General features: G+C 47.9%; 1 long non-coding RNA gene and 1 pseudogene across 3 annotated transcripts in view, besides 4 other annotated features; one reads left to right on the forward strand and one right to left on the reverse strand.

Moving 5' to 3' along the window:
* Positions 1-20,831, forward strand: part of LOC105372437 (uncharacterized) — a 43,757-nt gene that overhangs the window by 3,934 nt on the left and 18,992 nt on the right. Inside the window, exons 2-3 of one of the 2 annotated variants that reach the window (XR_007067299.1) lie at positions 4,449-4,523; positions 18,938-19,053. This is a non-coding gene — a long non-coding RNA (uncharacterized LOC105372437). Of the gene's footprint in view, positions 1-4,448; positions 4,524-18,937; positions 19,993-20,831 lie in introns of those variants that run through there. The other variant, XR_936023.2, reaches the window with a different exon arrangement.
* Positions 65-1,017: an enhancer, noted in NCBI's record as "H3K27ac-H3K4me1 hESC enhancer chr19:50836875-50837827 (GRCh37/hg19 assembly coordinates)". NCBI's record gives its function as "activates a minimal SCP1, AML or CMV promoter by ChIP-STARR-seq in naive H9 embryonic stem cells {active_cell/tissue: H9 hESC(naive)}" and the evidence as "EXISTENCE:reporter gene assay evidence [ECO:0000049][PMID:30033119]".
* On the reverse strand, positions 247-11,214 carry NAPSB (napsin B aspartic peptidase (pseudogene); annotated as a pseudogene). Its single transcript, NR_002798.2, has 9 exons — positions 11,120-11,214; positions 3,981-4,122; positions 3,772-3,895; positions 3,464-3,582; positions 2,953-3,152; positions 1,506-1,628; positions 1,276-1,420; positions 754-852; positions 247-548 (listed from the first exon to the last, which is right to left on the reverse strand). The product of NR_002798.2 is annotated as a napsin B aspartic peptidase (pseudogene) (transcript).
* Positions 9,016-9,255: an enhancer, noted in NCBI's record as "active region_14980". NCBI's record gives its function as "activates an Ori minimal core promoter by ATAC-STARR-seq in GM12878 lymphoblastoid cells {active_cell/tissue: GM12878}" and the evidence as "EXISTENCE:reporter gene assay evidence [ECO:0000049][PMID:35858748]".
* Positions 11,086-11,135: an enhancer, noted in NCBI's record as "active region_14981". NCBI's record gives its function as "activates an Ori minimal core promoter by ATAC-STARR-seq in GM12878 lymphoblastoid cells {active_cell/tissue: GM12878}" and the evidence as "EXISTENCE:reporter gene assay evidence [ECO:0000049][PMID:35858748]".
* Positions 13,768-13,917: an enhancer, noted in NCBI's record as "active region_14982". NCBI's record gives its function as "activates an Ori minimal core promoter by ATAC-STARR-seq in GM12878 lymphoblastoid cells {active_cell/tissue: GM12878}" and the evidence as "EXISTENCE:reporter gene assay evidence [ECO:0000049][PMID:35858748]".

The following is a 20,831-nucleotide window of genomic DNA, read 5'->3' on the forward strand; positions in this document are numbered from 1 at the left end:
TCAGGGCGTGACCACGGCGTGGACTACAACGACCGTGATGCTCCACGGAGCCAGGAGCCTTTGACGAAAGGCAGCGTAGGCGAGGGCCTTCATGGGACTCGTAGTACAAGGCCCATCACAAGGGTGCGCCGTGGAGAAAAGGGGTGATACCCTTCGCCTCCCTCTCTTCCTCAACTCCGTGGGTCCATGCACAAAGCTTTCTCTTCAAAAAGTACGCTCTGAAAAGAAGCAACCTAGGCAGGTTCGTTCAATGGAAATATTGGATTTTTACTGAGTAGCGCTAGCTCTGCTACCCGGTGCGCATGCGCATCACCTGGGCGGCACCCGCGGTACTGCGCCTGCGCGGTCTCGCGCCTTCCCAGGTCCGCTCCGCGAGGGCGAGCGCGCGCCAGTCCCACTCGTGCGCCGCTCTTCATGTCCCCGCGGTCGAAGACGGTCACATACGCCCCCAAGAAAACGTCGCCGAGGATCCACACAGGTACTGGAGGCGAAGCGATGTCCAAGGCCCGGAAGCCGGACAAGCAGAGGCGGACGTCACCCTGAGCAAACTGCAAGGCGACAAGGCGGCAACTGGGTGTCCAGGCCGCAGGAACCACCATTTCCCTGGGAGTCCGTGCTCTCTCCGCCCCCAACCCCGGGGACAAGAAATGTTTCTGTGGCCCCTTCCGGCCCTAGTGATGTCCAACTACCAGCTCCACCCTCTCAACTCCAGTCATATTACATCACTGTGGCGTCATTATGACGGACACCTACCTGGATGACGTAATCCTGGGCCGTGAGATTAAACCAGACCCCCCCAATGAGGAGTGAGACTGCGGGGAGCTTTGGGATTTCTGAGCACCGGATGATGTACTGGTGGAGGAGAGGAACAAGTGAAGATGGGAGATTCCTGCTCTGCTCAAATCCCGTCCGTGGCTCCCCAGTGCCATGGAGTAATGTTCATATTGAGCACCTGGGTATTCAGCACCGTGTGTGGACAGCCCTGTTGCCTAGGCTCCTCTCATCTAGTCCCAAACAAAACTGCATTATCATCTCCCCCAACAACCCCCCCCCCACTCCCACCCCTACTTCACCATCCACTGAGCCACTTAGCATAGACACTTGGGAAGTATCTTTGCTTCCTCCCACCACTCTCTGGCATGTCACTTAAGAAGCCCAGTCCCCTCTGTCCTGGATACGCTCTAGCTACCTGCTTCCCATCCTCAGGCCGCAGTGTTCGCCATGGAATTGCCATCATCTTCCCCAGGACACACCCACCAGAGACTGGGACCTCACCTCCCCAGCCAGCAAGGGGATTCCCCCAATGGCTGCATGCAGGGCCCGGATCTCCTCAGTGGGTCCTACGATGACAGGTGTGCCTGTATCCAGGATGGCAGCACAGCCCTGGGCACAGAGAGTCAGCCGTGAGCCCACCTTCACACTGAGGGGGAAGGAAGCAGTCATTAGAGGCAGGGTCCTAGGAGTCCAGGCCTCCAGCTCCAGACCCAGGAGACCAAGTCCCTCACCGCTCCATGTGGATCTGCCAGTAGGCGGGGACTGTGACTGGCACGAAGGTGAGGGGTGGGATGTAGTGTGCCGGGTCTGAGCCCCCCAGGACCAGCTCTCCTCCATCAGCCACTTCAGGGTCCCTGCAGGGGCAGAGTGTAGAGGTCATTGTCGCCAGCCCTCCCCCGCCAGCCCTAGGAATGGCCAGGGATGGGACTTCCTGCCAATTGGGTCATTTTTGGGGTTCTAGTTGGGGCAGTGGAATGCAGGCAGGGCCGAGATGTTGGGACTGGAAACAAGAAATGAAGGGAAATGGTGCTTTTCTTGATGGAAGTTAGGACTTTAGGATGATGGATACTTCCTGAAGTGGAGAGGAGACTTCTTCATTTGGCTGTGGAAGGTAGAGCTTTTGGGGGAAATTCCTGAGCTGAATATCATAGTAACCAAGCAGACCAGTGGAGTCTCAGAATTGGCTCGAAGGTGTGACTTGTACAGGAGTGGGGTGGCTTCCTGGGAAGGTGCATAGACTTTCTGAATTGCCTGTTGTGGTATCTAGAAAGGTGTTAGACTTCCTGAGCTGGCTGAGAGTGATGGGAACGGGGATGGAAACTTCCTGGAAGATGTAAATGAGTGGGACCTACCGAGAGCTAGGTGGAACTTCTTGAGTGGGTTGGATGTCAGGGTAACTGAGTGGGCATTGGACTGTGTGTGATGGGCCCTGGGAGGGAAAGTGAAGACTTCTCGGGTGGTGGGTGGGACTTCTGAGCATAAGATTGACCTTCCTACCAGGTGGGTGGGGCTTCGTGAATTCAATCAGGCATTTCCTGACTTCTGGTCAGTGTTCTCAAATGGGATTTGAGCTTTATGGTGAAGAGAAGGTTCCTGAGTATTTGGTTGGGTGGGGCATAGAATTTCCTAGTTTGATTTTGAAACTCAGCATATTGAACTGTTGGTGAGTTTCTTTAATATGTCTTAAGTTGTCACTTAAGCTCTGGGGCTTATGAATAGGGTTGAGGTGTTTCTTCTGTTAGGTAGGTGGCTACTTCCTGAATGAAGGGTGGGATTGATTTTTTTTTTTTTTTTTTTTTTTTGGAGACGGTCTCTCTCTGTCACCCAGACTGGAGAGCAGTGGTGCGATCTCGGCTCACTGCAACCTCCACCTCCCGGATTCAAGCAATTCTCCTGCCTCAGCCTCTCAAGTAGCTGGGATTACAGGCATGTGCCACCGCACCCAGCTAATTTTTATAGTTTTAGTACAGATGGGGTTTCACCATGTTAGCCAGGCTGGTCTGGAACTCTTGACTTCAGGTGATCAATCTGCCTCAGCCTCCCAAATTGCTGGGATTACGGGCATGAGCCACCGTGCCTGAACTGGGACTTTCTTTATGGAGTAAGAGACTTCCTGAAGGAGGGCCTCACTTCCTTCTGAGGAATAGGACTCATAGATAGGTGCACCCTCCCCAGCACCTGTTGAAGTAAAAGGAGAAGACAGGCTTATCCAATAGCCCCTGCTCCACCAGTACATCCAGCGGGGGCCGAACTCCTTCCACAGACAGAATGGGAAAACCGAGGCCCAATATCCCATCGGGGCGGGAAACAGTGAAGACCAGGCTGGATTCCCACAGAGCTTCCCCGAAAATCACGGATGCACCCTTGATTCCACCAATCTAGGGGTAGATTGAGATGTGACCAGTTACTTTTGGGAGGACAATAACCACATGTCCTGAGGTCTCCCAAACCAAAGCATTAATCCCAGGTCTGGGGACATCTGGACCCAAGCCCCCAACTGCTTAGCAAACTTTGCCTCTGGACTTGAGAGAATTCCTATCCCTTCACCCAGGAACCCCTCCCCCTCCTTGAGAAGCCCCATCCATCGGCTCAGGAAGCCCCTGCACCTCAAGCCCCTCCCTAAGCCAGATGATCTTAGACAACAGGGTTCTCCCAGGCTCGAGGCTTCCTGGAGTCAAAGGCCACTCACAGTCAGCTTGTCCTCACTCAGGATTCCATCTACCCGCCCAGTTCCATACTGAATGGCAAACTTGGTCCCACTGGGCTTGAAGGAGCTGGAGGCATTGGGATTGAAGCGGTGGTGGAACCCTAGGTCAGAAGTCAGAGAGGTGTCACTGTGGGAGGGGAGCTTTCCGAATGCCTTCTGCCCCTTTAACCTTCTGACCTTTGAGGGTGTCAGAAAAGAACAGTTCCTCAAAAACCTTTGGGAAGCTGAGGCCCAGCCCCGCCTTCTCCCTTCACCCCCATTCAGCCTTATTCTCCCACATAGAAGCTCACAGCAGGGCACACTGAAGAAGTGGCATCTCCTGGACGGGACCCAGAGATTGGAGGAGCCAGTGTCAAAGGCAACAGTGAAGTTTTGTGGAGGCGTTCCCAGCCCAATTTCCCCAAAATACTGGGCCTGAGGAGGCAAAAGAAGAGACAGAGTCAATGAAGAGTTTGGCTCAAGGGCACAGGAGTGGGGGCTGTGTAGGGCTGTGACTCACATCCAGGAATTTGGAGAGAGGTACCGAGGCAGGCTTGTCCCCAGGGGATGGGGCCCCCAACTTGGGGAGCTCTGCTGGTTTTCCCCATCCCCTCAGTAGGTTCAGGGTCCTGCGTCCAGGGTGGACTTGACGAAGAGGGATCCTGTAGGGTATGAAGATGATGAGAATTAGGAAGCCGCCCTTCCTGGAGACCCTCTAAAATAGACTTACCCAAATGGAATATGATGACAAATTCAACATTTCCAAGGCGCTACAATAGGAGTCATTACCAGAAACCCTACAATAACAACCTCCGGGAAACCCTAGCACAGAAACCATGATGACAGATATCCCCAAAGACTTTACAGGAACAAACCATCCCAAACAGAACTTCCCAATGGTATCCAAGTCCTTAAAATAAGCCATTCCCAGGGAATTGACATTCTCAAAGTTTTCCCAAGACCCTAACATGAAATCTGACCTTTGCAGAAGCCCTCGGATGGTGGCCCTTGCATGCTTCAGTTCATGATGTTGGAGACTATTTCCCCACCCTTGCGGAAAAACGTAAGCATCAAATCTTAATTTCACTTTTTTTTCCTGCAACCTCTGCCTCCTGGGTTCCAGTGATTCTCCTGCCTCAGCCTCCCGAGTAGCTGGGACTACAGGCGCGCACCACCACGCCCAGCTAATTTTTGTATTTTTGGTTGAGACGGGGTTTCGCAATGTTGGCCAGGTTGCTCTCGAACTCCTGACCTCAGGTGATCCACCTGCCTCAGCCTCCCAAAGTGCTGGGATTACAGGTGTGAGCCACCGCGCCCGGCTGAGACAGAGTCTTGCTCTGTCACCAGGATGGAGTGCAGTGGTGTGATCTCGGCTCACTGCCGCTTTTGCCTCCCAGGTTCAAGTGATTCTCCTGCCTCAGCCTCCTGAGTAGATGGGATTACAGGCACGTGCCACCAGCTAATTTTTGTAGACAGAGTTTCACTGTGTTGGCCAGGATGGTCTTGATCTCTTTACTTCATGATCTGCCTGCCTCGGCCTGAGCCACAACAGCATGAGCCACCGTGCCTGGCCTGAGGAAAGCTTTTCTAAGCATGAAGGCAGGATCAAAAATCATGGGGGAAAATATTAATAAGTGTGACTCAAAATTGACACCTGTTGGCCAGGCACCATGGCTCACGCCTATAATCCCAGCACTGTGGGAGGCAAAAGCAGGCAGATTACTTGAGCTCAGGAGTTCGAGACCAGCCTGGGCAACATGTTGAAACGCTGTCTCTACTAAAAATACAAAAATTAGCCAGGTGTGGTGGCACACACCTATAATCCCAGCTTCTTAGGAGGCTGAAGCGGGAGGATTGGTTGAGCCCAGGAGTTCAAGTCTACAGCTACAGTGAGCTATGATCTTGCAACTGCACTCCCAGCCTGGGCAACAAAGCAAGACCCTGTATCTAAAATAAATAAATAAATACAATAAATAAATTTTAAACCCTTGTACTTCCCCTCTACATACACACACAAAGCTGTAAATAAAGGCAAGGACAAAAAATCTGGGGGAAATAATTATAAGTTGTATATTAAGAGTTAATATTCCTAATATGCAAAGAGCTTCTACAAATAAATAACAAGATAACCCAGTCTTGGGAGACAGTTTTTCTTGAGTCTCTCACATGTCTGCAGAGCACTGACTTGTCTTTTGAAGGATTTTGTTTAGTGAACAGCCTTGGAAGAGAGATAGCATCTCTTTCTGGAGCAAAGGGAAGGCAGGCTTATGATGCCTTATAAAAGATTTAAGCTCCCTATGCTCAAGGTTCTATTAATATCATGCACCACAGTGCATGTGCAGGTATCATCTGGCCTTCTTCATTTCATCTTGTGGAAACGGGCTCAGAAAAATAGGCCAGCTGTGGTGGCTCATGCCTGTAATCCCAGCACCATGAGAGGCCGAGGTGGGAGGATTGCTTGAGGCCAGGAGTTTGAGACCAGCCTGGACAACATAGTGAGACCCTGTCTCTACAAAAAATAAGAAAGCCAGGTCTGGTAGCACATGCCTGTAGTCCTAGCTACTTGGGAGGCCCAGGAATTCAAGGTTACAGTGAGCTATAATCATGCCACTGCACTCCAGCCTGAGCAACAGAACAAGACCCTGTCTCAAAAAAGAAACAAAAAAAGAAAAAAGAAAGAAAAAACTGGCACACGTACTAATACTCTTGCTACTACTATTGCTGGGAGTAATAAACTGCCCTTTGTCTCTGACTTGGGAGTCTTGGGTCTTCTATGAGCAGCCATGAAACTATGGCAAACTAACTTCATAGTTCTTGACGCTCATTAGGAAAATGGACAAAGGACATAAAATTGCAAAAGAAGTACAAATAAATTCTAAATACATGGAAAGATGTCATCAACAGTCATCAAAAAAATACAAATGACAACAGTGAGAAACCTTGTTTCACCATACAGATTGGCAAAGAACTGAGAATACTTATTGTTGATTAGGTTTGCAAATGTGTATCAAATGCTCGAAAATTGTACCCACCATTTAACACAACCCAGAATTTCATCTATAGGAGATCACTGGATGAGTGCACAGAGGTGGGTTTATGAGGCTGTGCCTAATTTTGGAAACTGGAGACAGTCCAATGATGAACTGCCTTTGCAAAAACTATAAGTGAGAAAATTAGGACAGTGAAAGAGATCTGATCTAAACAACCGCTACCTTGCCTTTAACTTCCAAACTGCCTTTGGTCATTCCTGGGCTTAGGCCAAGCTAACTTTGGGAGACAGTTTATAGTTTAAATGGTAATAGTCCATCCCCAAAACTAAACCACCTTTGTAAAGCTAATGAAGTACCACCAGGATAGGAGGATGAGAGGAGCATGAATTCTGCTAAGGTGCAGACATAAATGATTACCAGTCATTATTCCAGAGGTCAAAATATTTGCAGCTTCCCCAATTACTCCTGCAGATTACATCACTACTGTAGAACCTGATTGGCCTTTTGAGACTAAGGGTTTTTGCATTTCTGGTGATGCCACCCAGACCTGCCAACCAGTCCTGTGGCTCCACCCAGAAGCAGACTATTTTCCAGGCCCCTATGAATGATTACATCCTTGACCAATCAGCAGCACCCATTCCCAGGCCTGACAAACTATCCTTGAAAAACCCTGGCCTCCAAATGTTAGGGGAGGCTAATTTGTTGTTTTCATTTTGTTTTTTTATGAGATGGAGTCTCACTCTGTCACCCAGGCTGGAGTACATTGGCATGATCTCAGCTCACTGCAACCTCCACCCCCTGGGTTCAAGTGATTCTCCTCCCTCAGCCTCCTAAGTAGCTGGGATTACAGGCACCAACCACCATACTCAGCTAGTTTTTCTATTTGTAGTAGAGACGGGGTTTCATCATGTTGGCCAGGCTGGTCTTGAACTCCTAACCTCAGGTGATCCACCCGCCTCGGCCTCCCAAAGTGCTGGGATTATAGGCGTGAGCTGCCATGCCCACCTCTGATTTGAGTAATAATAAAACTCTGGTCTCCTGCTCAGCCAGTGGCTCGGCATAAATTAAACTCTTTCTCTATTGCCGCTTTCCTATCTTGATAAATTGGCTGTATCTGGGCAGCAGGCAGAAAGAACCAGCTAGGCGGTTACAGTGGCCAACAATGGGTACAGCTTAGTTCTGCTTTGGAACATACATAGAATGGAACCCCATTTGACCTCTAAGAAGGAGGAAGTAGCTGTCTATACCAGTCATTCTCAAACTTTATTTAGCATGACCCAAAATCACCTACAGCAGTGGTGTTGGGCAAATCTTTGTGTAGAGGCTTTGCAGGCCAGACAGTCTCTGTGGTAACTATTCAAATCTGTCCAGATAGCATGAAAGCAACTGCAGACAACAGATGCTATGGAAATGAATGCGCATGCTGACTCCAGTTTTGTTAGAGACAGGGTCTCACTCTGTTGCCCAGGCTGGAGAGCAATGACACGATTGTGGCTCACTGCAGTCTCAAACTCCTAGGCTCAAAGGTCATCTTGTCTCAGCCTGCCAAGTAGCTGGAATCAGGCATATGCCACCACATCCTAGCTAATTTTTTTTTCATTTTTTGTAGAGATAAGTTCTTGCTAAGTTGCCCAGGCTGGTCTCAAATTCTTGGCCCCAAGCAATTCTGCCTCGGCCCTGCAAAGTGTTGGGGTTACAGGCATGAGCCACTACATCTGGCCTAGATTCCCTTTAGCTTATTTGTAAAAGGGAAATAGCACGCAGGGTTTGACCCTCAGGCTCAGTGTTTGCCAAGCCCAGACTCAGAGGGCTGGTTCAAATTCAGATCTCTTAATTTTTAAGTAGATCTGGGATGGGGCTTGAGAATTTGCATTTCTAACAAGGTCCTGGGCCATGCTAATGCTATTGGTTTTGAGACAACATTCTGAGACTCACTGTTCTTTGCATTGACTTGGAAAATGTCCGTGATATATTAGGTTTGCAAAGCAGATGAATAGGGAATGATGAATTCATTGAACCTTACACCAGCAACATCTATACTCTCAGAGTCCTGGGAGAATTTCAGATTGTAAATCCTTACTTATTCAAAGATCTTACTGAGGTGGGAGGATTACTTGAGGCCAGGAGTTCATGACCAGTCTAGGAAACATAGTGAGACCCCCCATCTCTACAAAAAAAGAAAATCTTAAAAAAAAGCTGGTTAACAAACATAATGTGCAGTAATTTTTAAAATAAATTTTATATTTAATGATTTTTTTGTAGAAAGAGATGGGGTCTCACTATGTTGGCCAGGTTGGTCTTGAACTCTTGGCCTCAAGCAATCCTCCAGGCCTCTGCCTTCCATAGTGCTAGGATTACAGGTGTGAGCCACCATGGCTGGCCTCATGCAGTAATTTTTTTTTTTTTTTTTTTTGAGATGGAGTCTCGCTCTGTTGCCCAGACTGGAGTGCAGTGCCATGATCTTGGCTCACTGCAAGCTCCGCCTCCCAGGTTCACGCCATTCTCCTGCCTCAGCCTCCTGAGTACCTGGGACTACAGGCGCCCACCACCACGCCCGACTAATTTTTTTGTATTTTTAGTAGAGTTGGGGTTTCACCATGTTAGCCAGGATGGTCTCGATCTCCTGACCTTGTGATCTACCTGCCTCGGCCTCCCAAAGAGCTGGGATTACAGGCATAAGGCACCACGCCCAGCCTGCAGTAATATTTTTGTACCCAATTTTAGTCACTCCTTGGAGCATGACACCCTCACTCACACCTTTGCCCTCACCCCTCATGACTCAGTCTTTGAAAGGCACAAGAACGAGAAGTGGGGAAAACACTTTCCGGAAAATACACCCCTCCCCCTGCGAAGAGCCCCAAGGGGTAAGGAGAAGAGAAGAGAAGAGGGGAAGGGAGAAATTGGGGAAGCATCAGAGGTAAGGTAGGGGAGAACTTCTTGGGTGGGGTCCCCAAAACTGGACTTCTTTTTTTTTTGAGACAGGACCTCCCTTGTCGCCCAGGCTAGAGTACAGTAGCTCAATCATAGCTCACTGCAGCCTCAAAACCCTGGGTTCAAATGGTCCTCCCACCTCAGCCTCCCAAGTAGCTAAGACTACAGGCACCTGTCACCGTGCCTGGCTGATTTTTTTTTTCTGTAGAGACTGGGGGTCTCACTATGTTGCCCAAGCTAGTCTTGAACTCCTAGCCTCAAGCAGTTCTCCTACCTTGGCCTCCCAAAGTGCTGAGTTGACAGTGGTGAGCCATTGTGCTCAGACAAAAAAATAGACTTCTTGAGGCCTAAACAATTTGGAGGGTGTGAATGTGGGGGAGTCTTAGTTTAAATGTCACATGCCTTGGTCTCCAAGATGGCGGGAATGTGTCACATGTCTGGAGACCCCCATAACTGGTCATCAGAGCTTGGAGTGGGATCTGCAGAGGCCTCCAAAAAAACATATCCAGAGAAGAAGGGGAGGGTTCCTCACTCAAGAGTCTTAGTGAAGGCCGGGTGTGGTGGCTCGCGCCTGTAATCCCAGCACTTTGGGAGGCCGAGGCGGACAGATCGCGAGTTCAGGAGTTCAAGACCAGCCTGGCCAACATGGTGAAACCCCATCTCTACTAAAAATACAAAAATTAGCCAGGCATGGTGGTGCGTGCCTGTAATCCCAGCTACTTGGGAAGCTGAGGCAGGAGAATCGCTTGAACCCAGGAGGCGGAGGTTGCAGTGAGCCGAGACCACGCCACTGCACTCCAGCCTGGCAACAGAGTGAGACTCCGTTTCAAAAAAAAAAAAAAACAAAAAAAACAAAAAAAGAGTCTCAGTGTTGGAGGATCTGGGACTTAAAAGGGCTCTGGGCTGGACATGGTAGTTCACGTCTGTAATTCCAGCACTTTGGGAAGCTGAGGTGAGAGGATTGCTCGAGCCCAGGACATGGAGACCAGCCTGCAAAACATAGGGATACCCTCTTCTTTACAAAAAATTTCAAAAATTAGCTGGGCATGGTGACACATGCCTGTAGTCCCAGCTACTTGGGAGGCTGAGGTGGAAGAATGGCTTAAGACCACGAGTTTGAGGCTGCAGTGAGCCATGATCGCACTACTGCACTCCAGCCTGGGTGACACAGCAAGACCCAATCTCAACAAATAAATAAATAAAAAGAAAAAAATTATTTTAAAAAAGGAGCTCTGAGCCAGACGTGGTGGCTCACGCCTGTAATCCCAGCACTTTGGGAGGCTGAGGTGGGCAGATCACCTAAGGTCGGGAGTTCAAGACCAGCCTGATCAACATGGAGAAACCCCATCTCTACTAAAAATACAAAATTAGCCGGGGTGGTGTGGCACATGCCTGTAATCCCAGCTACTTGGGAGGCTGAGGCAGGAGAATCGCTTGAACCCAGGAGGTGGAGGTTGTGGTGAGCCAAGATCGTGCCATTGCACTCCAGCCTGGGCAACAAGAGTGAAACTCTGTCTCAAAAAAAATAAATAAATAAAAGGGAGCTCTGATCTTAGGAGATGTCAGAGTAGAGCCCTCGGGGTGAGAGCCCACTTTAGAGATCTGGAAAGCCAAGAAAGAAGAGTCAAGGATCCTGGGTGCCAGGTTTGGGAATCACTGAACCAGGAGCCCCAGACTTAAAGGGCAAAAAGCAGAGAATCCCTCCCAGGTTTGGGGGTGGCAAATGGGGTCACCATACCGGATCAGTGTGGCCCCAGCAGGCTCCACATTCAGCAGAGGCAGCAGCAGCAGCAAGGGTAGCAGCAGCAGTGGTGGAGACATTGCTGGGGAGCCGGGTGTGAACCCAGGCTTCCTAGTTTTCTTTCCCCTGTGACTCCACCCTGTTTATGCCCCACCTCCCGGTTTAGGAGGTGACCAGAACACGAGGTCTCTCAGCAGGTGACACAGGGGGACAAGGATGTTTTTGAAGATTTGTGCAGAGTATTTGTGTAGTGTCAACAAAAGTTGTATCCTGTGTCCTTAGTGCTCCTCATTCCCTACTTGGGGGGTGGTGGTCGTGGGGTGTCCTCTGCTGGGACTGCCTCCCACCCCCCATCCTTTAGCCTCTGTCACTTTTACTTCTCACTTTCACATCACTTTTCTGAGACTCATTAACCACAGTGTTTCCTTGGCCAAGTGGGAGGGACCAGCAGGTGTCTGTGAAGGGCCTGGGGAAGGGAGAGAGGAACTGATTATAAGCCTGCCCTCCCATATGAAGTGGGACTGCCTGCGTCTGAGGACCCAGACTCTTATTTGTAGGTGAAGTATGTTTCTTGTAAGCAACAAAACATTGGGTCTTCTTTTTCATCCATTCATCCGTTCTATATCTTTTTATTCGAGAGTTTAGTCCATTTACATTCAATGTTGTTCTTGATAAGGACGTCCTCCTGACATTTTGTTACTTGTTTTCTGGTTGTTTTGTAGTATTCTCTTCTTTCTGTCCTTCTTTCATGTTATTTATTTATTTATTTATTCATTTATTTTTGAGACAGAATCTCATTGTCGCCCAGGCTGGAGTGCCGTGGTGCAATCTCGGCTCACTGCAACCTCTGCCTCCTGGATTCAAGCGATTCTCGCCTCAGCCTCCCGAGTAGCTGGGACTACAGGCGCGTGCCACTGCACCTGGCTAATTTATGTATTTTTAATAGAGATTTGGTTTCATGATGTTGGCCATACTGATCTCAAACTCCTGACTTCAGGTGATCCACCCGCCTCAGCCTCCCAGAGTGCTGGGATTACACATGTGAGCCACCACACCTGGCCTCTGTTTTCCTTTTAGAGAAGATAATTTTCCTTGGTCATATGATTTAATTTTTTGCTTTTTTTTTTGTATCTGTTGTATGTTTTTTGATTTGAGGTTACCATGAGGCTTGCAAATATTGTCTTTTTTTTTTTTTTTTTTTGAGATGGAATCTCGCTCTGTTACCCAAGCTGGAGTGCAGTGGCTCGATCTCGGCTCACTGCAAGCTCTGCCTCCTGGGTTGACGCCATTCTCCTGCCTCAGCCTCCAGGGTAGCTGGGACTACAGGTGCCTGCCACCACACCTGGCTATTTTTTTTTTTTTTTTTTTGTATATTTAGTAGAGACGAGGTTTCACCGTGTTAGCCAGGATGGCCTCGATCTCCTGACCTCATGATCCGCCTGCCTTGGCCTCCCAAAGTGCTGGGGTTACAGGCGTAAGCCACTGTGCCCTGCCATAAATACTATCTTATAACCCATTATTTTAAGCTGACAACATAAACTTAACACTGTTTGCATAAACAAACCAACAAACCAACAAACAATAAGAAAATTAGTAAAAACTCTACACCTTCACTTTGTCCCCAACTTTTTAACTTTTTGTTGTTTGTATTTATATCTTATTGTACTGTCTATGTCTTGAAGCGTTGTTGTAGTTATTATTTTTGATTGGTTCATCCTTTAGTTTTTCTACTTAAGAGTTGTTCACACACCATAGTTATACTGTTACAATACACCATGTTTTTCTGTGTGCTTACTATTAGCAGTGAGTTTTGTACCTTCAGATGATTTTTTTTTTTTTTTTTGAGACGGAGTCTTGCTCTGTCACCCAGGCTGGAGTGCAGTGGTGCGATCTCAGCTCACTGCAAGCTCCACCTCCCGGGTTCATGCCATTTTCCTGCCTCAGCCTCCCGAGTAGCTGGGACTACAGGCACCCACCACCACATCCGGCTAATTTTTTTGTATTTTTAGTAGAGACGGGGTTTCACCGTGTTAGCCAGGATGGTCTCGATCTCCTGACCTCGTGATCCACATGTCTCTGCCTTCCAAAGTGCTGGGATTACACACGTGAGCCACCGCGTCTGGCCCAGATGATTTTTTATCACTCATTAACATGCTTTTCTTTCTGACTGAAGTACTCCCTTTAGCATTTCTTGTAGGACAGATCCGGTGTTGATGAAATTCCTCAGCTTTGTTTGTTCTGGGAGAGTCTTTATTTCTCCTTCATGCTTGAAGAATATTTTCACTGGATATGCTATTCTAGTGTAGCAGGACAAGCTGTGGAGAAAACCCCACAGACACCGAGATAGTGAAGGAAGTAGCTTTTAATCAGCTGGAAGCATCAGCAGACTAGCATCTTAAAATTCAAGCTTGTTGAGTGCACAATTTCTGTCGCTTTTAAGGGTTCACAACACTAAAGATTTTACATGAAAGGACCGTGATTGATTGAGCAATCTAGGGGGTATGTGACAGGGGCTGCATGCACCAGTAATCAGAGCAAAGCAGAACAGAACGAGAAGTTTCACAATGTCTTTCCATACAATGTCTGGAATTTATGGATAATCGGTTGCTAGGTCATGGGTTGAATTTTAACTATCAGGCTAAGGTCAGGCAGGCCCAGGCCTGGTTTTGGGTCTGGTTTTGGGTCTGGTGCATGGCGCCGGGCTGCCTGCCTTTGGTTTCGCTTCCTTGTTTCTTCTTAAAACAGGTACTGAGTATGAAACAATATAGAACAATATGGGGGGGTCTCTTTCTCTCTTCTCTCATTTCCCCGCTTTGAGACTCTCACTCATGGTATTAGTGGAAGTTCTCACTTTCATTTTTACTACTTATGTCTTCCTGTGCAATAGATTGATAGTGATTCAAATAATATACTCGTGCTGAAGCATTCTGGTGAACTAAGGTAGTGATGAAGCTTTTTATCATTTGAAGAAGTATAGGTAGCAAACAAGGGAGTAGTAAGCGGATTCCTATTACTATTATAACTCCTATTATAAGAGTTTTAAGCCCTCCTATTGCTGGGAACCAATTTCCAAACATGGCCTCAGGATCAAATCCGTGCCACACTCGCACTGTACATGTGCCAGTTTTGTTATATCTTTAACTATGTCTTCAACTACTTGCCCTTGATCATCTATGTGGAGACAGCAATTAGTAAGGTTAAATTTTCCACAAACTCCTCCTTCAGCTGCTAGCAAGTAGTCGAGAGCTAGTCTATTTTGGTAGATAGCATTCCTCATCTGAGTCTCTTGCCGGGCAAGAACAGTCAAGGCTTGACCAGTTTAATTAGTAATAATTTCTAAAACAGCTTGCAACTGTATGATTCAGTTGAGCATGTAGATGGGGGTCCAATATCCCTATGAGCCATCTTATGCCCAAGTGGCGGGCCCATAGTATTGTATAATTCTTTCAGGGGGCCATCATCATCTTTCCAGTTACCTATGGCTATGCTTCGTTTTTCACGGGAAGCATAGACAGGGAATCCTAAGAGTTTGTTGTTTTTATGGGCAGCAGGAAGAAAGATGGTTTAATAGTGCCAATTACACAGCTACCTGTCTACTGATCAGATAGCTTAGCATAAGCTCTATGTCCACATATCCAGTATAACCCAGTAGGGGCAGTCCAGTCCCAGTGGAATTCTGGGTGGGCCTAAACAGTCTGCAATTTTGGAAATTTACGGAATGGATTTTTTTCCGTGTAATTGGAACTCCACCATGTAACTGTTTTTGTGGTACCATTATACAGTTTTTGTCCAAGACAACTAACCTGTCCTACAGGATGAGTGAATTCTTTTCCTTCTCTAGCTATGCAACATTGTCCAATAATTGAGGCTTTTAGAACCCAGAAATTGTCAGGGTGGTTCTTTTGGGCCGAGAATTCATCAGGAACTGGGTCTGTAGGAACTCATTCTCGGGCTTCCCATGGCCACTGATCTCCTGTTACAGTTGCTCCACAAACAAAACACGAAGTGACTTTTAGAGACTGGGCTACATGCTCGGCTAACTGCAAAAACAAATGTCTAGTTTTTCCTGGAATTTCAGGCACTGGCACATTTTGTTCATCATAGAAAGTGTGAAATACTGGCTCTGGAGAGCATGTTCGAACCTCTCCTTTTATTAAAATGTTTACCCTAGGGTCTAGTCTTTTTCCATCAATGCCTAGAGATAAGTATTTTCCTTTTTTCTATTTTGGGTCTGAGGGGCTTGTGATTACTAATTTTAAAGGGTTGCAGCTTCCACTCATGCAGGACAGGCTTCCTTTCCCTTTTTGGAGCAAAACAGGATCTTTTTCATTTTTTTTTTCCCAAGTAGCCTAAATGACACAAGACCAGTACCCACATTCTTTTCCACACAATCCTGATTCATGACAGATGTACTTATTTTCGGTCATGTAGTTTTTTCCTAATTAAAAGAGCCACATCCTGCTCCTAACTTATTGCTATTAATGACAGCACAGCGTCAAATCTTAAGATTATGCATTTGGGCACCCCTTTTTCTTCTGTTCTGGCTAATACTTTACTTGTATCATTTATGAGTCCCTGCCAGTGTTCAGTCCTTAATCTTATTTCAAAAACTGTGGAAATGGGAGGTTCAGAGGGGTCATAGCACACATCGGGCTGGTCACTTCCTGGATCACAGACTTTGTACTGAGTGTTATTATACAAACATGTTCCTTTTGGAATTCCTAGGCCTTCATAATAACTATAGAACAAAAAGATTGTCTTAACTTGTTGTCCTACCTCAGTGACCTGAGGTATGCACTGAAAGCAGTCCTCTGTGTGGGAAGAAGCAGTGGAAGCTTTTACCACACAAGTCCGTGTTATAAGGAAAGTAAGTCCCACGACGATTTTCCTCATGCTTCGGCCGCGAATAGGCCAGTCAGCTTCCGGGTGTGACTGGAGCAGGGCTTGTCGTCCTCCTCAGGGTTACTTTGCAGGGATTGTCTAGGCCTGGTTTGGCCTCCCAGGTTCCAGTGGCTGCAGGCTTTCCGCAGCTGTGGTGAATCCCGGCCGGAATTCCTTCTACCTTCACAGCCGTGGGAGTGGTCAGGATAACGGTCTGGGGTCCCTTCCACTATGGCCCTAAGGGAGCTACGTTCCAGTCCTTGATCCACACGCGGTCACCTGGAGAAAAAGGGTGAACTGGGGAGAATAAGCTGACCGGGCACCTCATTTACCCAAGTTGAGATTGTCTCGGTAATTTTCCCCAAGGCCTGTAGCTGTCGCTGCAATTCAATTTCACCCAACTCTTGGGGAGTACCCAGAAGCCCTCGCGGCATAGGAGGAGGCCTATGATATAATATTTCATAAGGGGAGTGTCCTGTTTTCTTAGAGGGGGTGCACCTGTTTTAAACAATACCATAGGAAGGGCCTGTATCCATTTTAATCTTGTCTCTTGACATACTTTCCTTAAACTATTTTTGATAGTCCGACTCATTCGCTCCACCTTCCCAGAACTCTGAGGTCGGCAGGCAGCATGTAGACTTGTTTGTACCTGTCCTTCTTGGGAAGGCTTTCCAGGTATTCAAAAGGACTTGAGGATTGTGATCTAAGCCATATCTGTATCAGGGGGCCTCCCAAGCCTATTAATGCTGTGGTTTTTGTTTGTTTTGTTTTTTTGAGACAGAGTCTCACTCTGTCACCCAGGCTGGAGTGCAGTGTCATGATCTCAGCTCACGGCAACCTCTGCCTCTCAGGTTCAAGCGATTCTCATGCCTCAGCCTCCCAAGCAGCTGGGATTACAGCTGTGTGCCACCACGCCTGGCTAATCTTTGTGATTTTAGCAGAGACTAGGTTTCATCATGTTGGCCAGGCTGGTCTCAAACTCTGGGCCTCAAGTGATCCATTCACCTCAGCCTCCCAGAGTGTTGGGATTACAGGCGTGAGCCACCACACCCGGTCTGCTACGGTTCTTGCAGACTCATAGAGGTACTGCCTTAGTGGTCTTGGATAACATCCAGAAGAATTATCTGGATTACCAGGCAGAGGCTCTTGTTCTCTTCTTTTACTTTCTCCCAAACAAAGGGAGCTGAGCCACCTGGAGGTGGGGATAGGGTGACACAAGCACCACTGTGGCCAGTAGCACTGGGACTGCACTGGGTCTCGACCAAAGCCCACTATAACCGCTACCTGGCTGCTGGCTATATTTGCTTAAGGCCCTAGGGCTCTAAAACCAGCAGGTTCCAAATGCAGCCAGGCTTATATCCTTTTCGTCAGGGCAGCAAGTTTCCCAAAGCTCTGGGTGGGTCCAGAAATGCAGTCAGTAAGCCAGGGACTGGAGTCAAAAACCTTAGAAATCTACCTGGTGTCTTGTTCTACTGTGGCTGAACTGGCTCTCAAATCACAAGACGCTCAGCCGGGTGTGGTGGCGCATCCCTGTAATCCCAGCACTTTGGGAGACTGAGGCGAGTGGATCACCTGAGGTCAAGGGTTTGAGACCAGCCTGTCCAACATGGTGAAACTCCGTCTCTACTAAAAATACAATATTAGCTGGGCATGGTGGTGCATGCCTGTAATCCCAGCTACTCAGGAGAACTGCTTGAACTTGGGAGGCAGAAGTTGTGGTGAGCCAAGATCGCACCATTGCACTACAGCCTGGGCAAGAAGAGCGAAACTCTGTCTCAAAAAAAAAAAAAAAAAATCACAAGACACTGTCTTTCCCACTCTTCCCTCCCTTTGCCACAGGCAGAGGTGCCTCACCCCATGGTTACCACAACCATAGGCTCAAGGGGAGTACTGCCAGGCTTCTGCCAAAGTTCACTCAAGGCCCGAGGAGTCTTCAGTCAGCTTCTAGTGAATGCTGCCAGGCCTAGGACTCACCCCTCAGGGCAGTGGGCTCCCCTCTGGCCCAGGGAATTTCCAGAAATGCCATCCTAGAGCCAAGATCTGGCATCAGGGATTCCAAGATCCCACTTCTCCTCCACTGTGTCTGAGCTGGTACCTGAGCTGAAAGACAAAGTTCCTTTTACTTTTCCCTCTGCGTTTCTCAAGCAGAAAGAGTCCCTCACTGTAGCCACCATAGCTGGGAATGTGGTGGGTCTCACCTGAAGACAGCATGTCTCAGAGTCTCACCGAAGGCCAATAGCATGTAGTACCTGGCATCACTGCTTGTTATTCAGGGCCCAACGGCTCTTGAGTCAGCAGGTGATAGAGCCTGCCAGGACTGGATCCTTCCCTTCAGGGTAGCTGGTTCCCTTCTCGCCCAAGGTGTGTCTAGAAATGTCATCTGGAAGCTAAGTCCTGGAATGGGAGGCTCATGACTCTGACTCGTGTCCCATCCTACTGTGTCTGAGCTGGTATCCAAGATGCAAGACAAAGTCCCCTTTACTTTCCTCTCCTCTCCTTAAACAGAAGAAAAGGGGTCCTTTTTGGAGCCACAAGGTATGCTACCTGGATTTGGGAAAGGAGTGGCACAAGTGGCCCCTTAGCTGCTGAGGTTGGTGTCTTAGTAGGTCATGTGCCCCCCAAATCCAATGGCTTTGAGTCCAGCTCAGCACCAGGACTTGCCTAGGAGTTGCAGTCCTCATGACCTAGACTGCCTTTCAACTTTATTTAGGACCCCAGAGCACTTTAGCCAACAGTGGTGTGGCTTGCCAAACCTCACATTCCGACTGTTGGGATGGGCGATTCTCCTCTGGCTTGGGCTGGTCTAAAATGCTCACTCCAGGAGCAGACAGTCTGCTGAGTTCAGGGCAGTTTTGCTTTCCACTGTGACAGGGCAGCACTGAGTTCAATGCAAAGTCTCAAAATCACTGCACTCTCTCTCTCCCAAACACACAGCTTCTCTCTGTGCCATGCAGCTACTGCCAGGGATGGAGGATGGCGGGAATTGGCAACTAAAGACTGTCCTCCTACCCTCTTCAGTGTGTCCTTCAGCAATATGAAGTTAAAACCAGGTATTGTAAATGCTTACCTGATTTTTAGTTCGTATGAAGGTGCTTTTTTCCTGTAGATTGTTGTTAAATGCGGTATTCCTGAAGATGAAATGATTGGTGGAAACTTATATTTGGCCATCTTGCTCCAGCCCCTCTCTAGACATTCTCTTACTGTTTTATTTGGAAAATACTGAAACAGACATACACACACACAAATAAAAATCACCCATAGCCCCATCATCTCTAAAATGTATAAAAATAATTTGCACTGTCTCTCTGTTCGCCAGTCCCTCTTCTCCCAGATTAAGCTTCTCAATTTTTAACAAGCATAAGAAATCTAGTTAAAATGCAGATTCCTGGGCACCACCCTCAGCTATTCTAGTTTGGGAGGCCTAGGATGAGACCCAAGAATCTGCATTTTTAAACAAATTCACTGATCGGCTGGGCGCAGTGGCTCACACCTGTAATCCCAGCACTTTGGGAGGCCAAGGCAGGCGGATCATGAGATCAGGAGTTCAAGACCAGCCTGGCCAACTTAGTGAAACCCCATCTCTACTAAAAATACAAAAAATTACCCAGGTGTGGTAGCGGGCACCTGTAATCCCAGCTACTCAGGAGGATGAGGCAGGAGAATTGCGTGAACCCGGGAGGAGGAAGTTGCAGTGAGCCGAGATCTCGCGACTGCACTCCAGTCCGGGCGACAGTGTGAGACTCTGTCTCAAAATAAATAAATAAATAAATAAATAAATAAATAAATAAATAAATACAATAAAATACAATAAAAAATTTTCACTGATCATGGAGCCACAAAGATGTCTGAGAAACCCTATTCAAGCTCTTTGGCTTTCTAGGATAGATTTGCATGTCAATATCAGCATGCACATTTTTTTTTGTTTTTTGTTTTTGGTATTTGCTTGTTTGTTTTAGTAAATAAAAGCTGCTGTAATTATTGATCTGCAAGTGATTGTTTTTAACTTAACCATATTCCCTGGACTTCAGAAAAAAATTGACATAACTTATCTACAGTAAAACACATGAGTCTGAGGCCAGGCGTGGTGGCTCAGGCCTGTAATCCCAGCACTTTCGGAGGCTGAGGCGGGCAGATCGCTTGAGGTCAGGAGTTCAAGACCAGCCTGTCCAACATGGTGAAACCCCATCTCTACAAAAATACAAAAATTAGCTGGGCGTGATGGTGTGCGCCTGTAATCCCAGCTGCTTGGGAGGCTGACGCAGGAGAAATGCTTGCAGAGGCAGAGGTTGCAGTGAGCAGAGATCATGCCACTGCACTCCAGCCTGAGCAACAGAGCGAGACTCCGTCTCAAAAAAAACAAAACAAACGCCAGGCGTGGTGGCTCATGCCTGTAATCCCAGCACTTTGAGAGGCTGAGGCGGGCAGATCACCTGAGGTCGAGAGTTCGAGACCAGCCTGACCAACATGGAGAAACCCCATCTATACTAAAAATACAAAATTAGCCGGGCATGGTGACACATGCCTGTAGTCCCAGCTACTCGGGAGGCTGAGGCAGGAGAATCACTTGAACCTAGGAGGCAGAGGTTGAAGTGAGCCGAGATCGCACCATTGCACTCCGGCCTGGGCAACAAGAGTGAAACTCCGTCTCAAAAAAAAAAAAAAGTAAAACTTAGCCAGGCATGGTGCCATGTACCTGTGGTCCCAGCTGCTCTGTAGGCTGAGGTGGGAGGATTGCTTGAGCCCAGCAGCTTGCAGATGCAGTTAGCAGTGATTGTGCTACTGCACTCCAGCCTGGGTGATGGAGCAGAAAATAAACTAATAATCTGGT

This window comes from Homo sapiens, chromosome 19, assembly GCF_000001405.40.
Source record: "Homo sapiens chromosome 19, GRCh38.p14 Primary Assembly".
NCBI classification, from domain to species: Eukaryota; Metazoa; Chordata; class Mammalia; order Primates; family Hominidae; genus Homo; species Homo sapiens.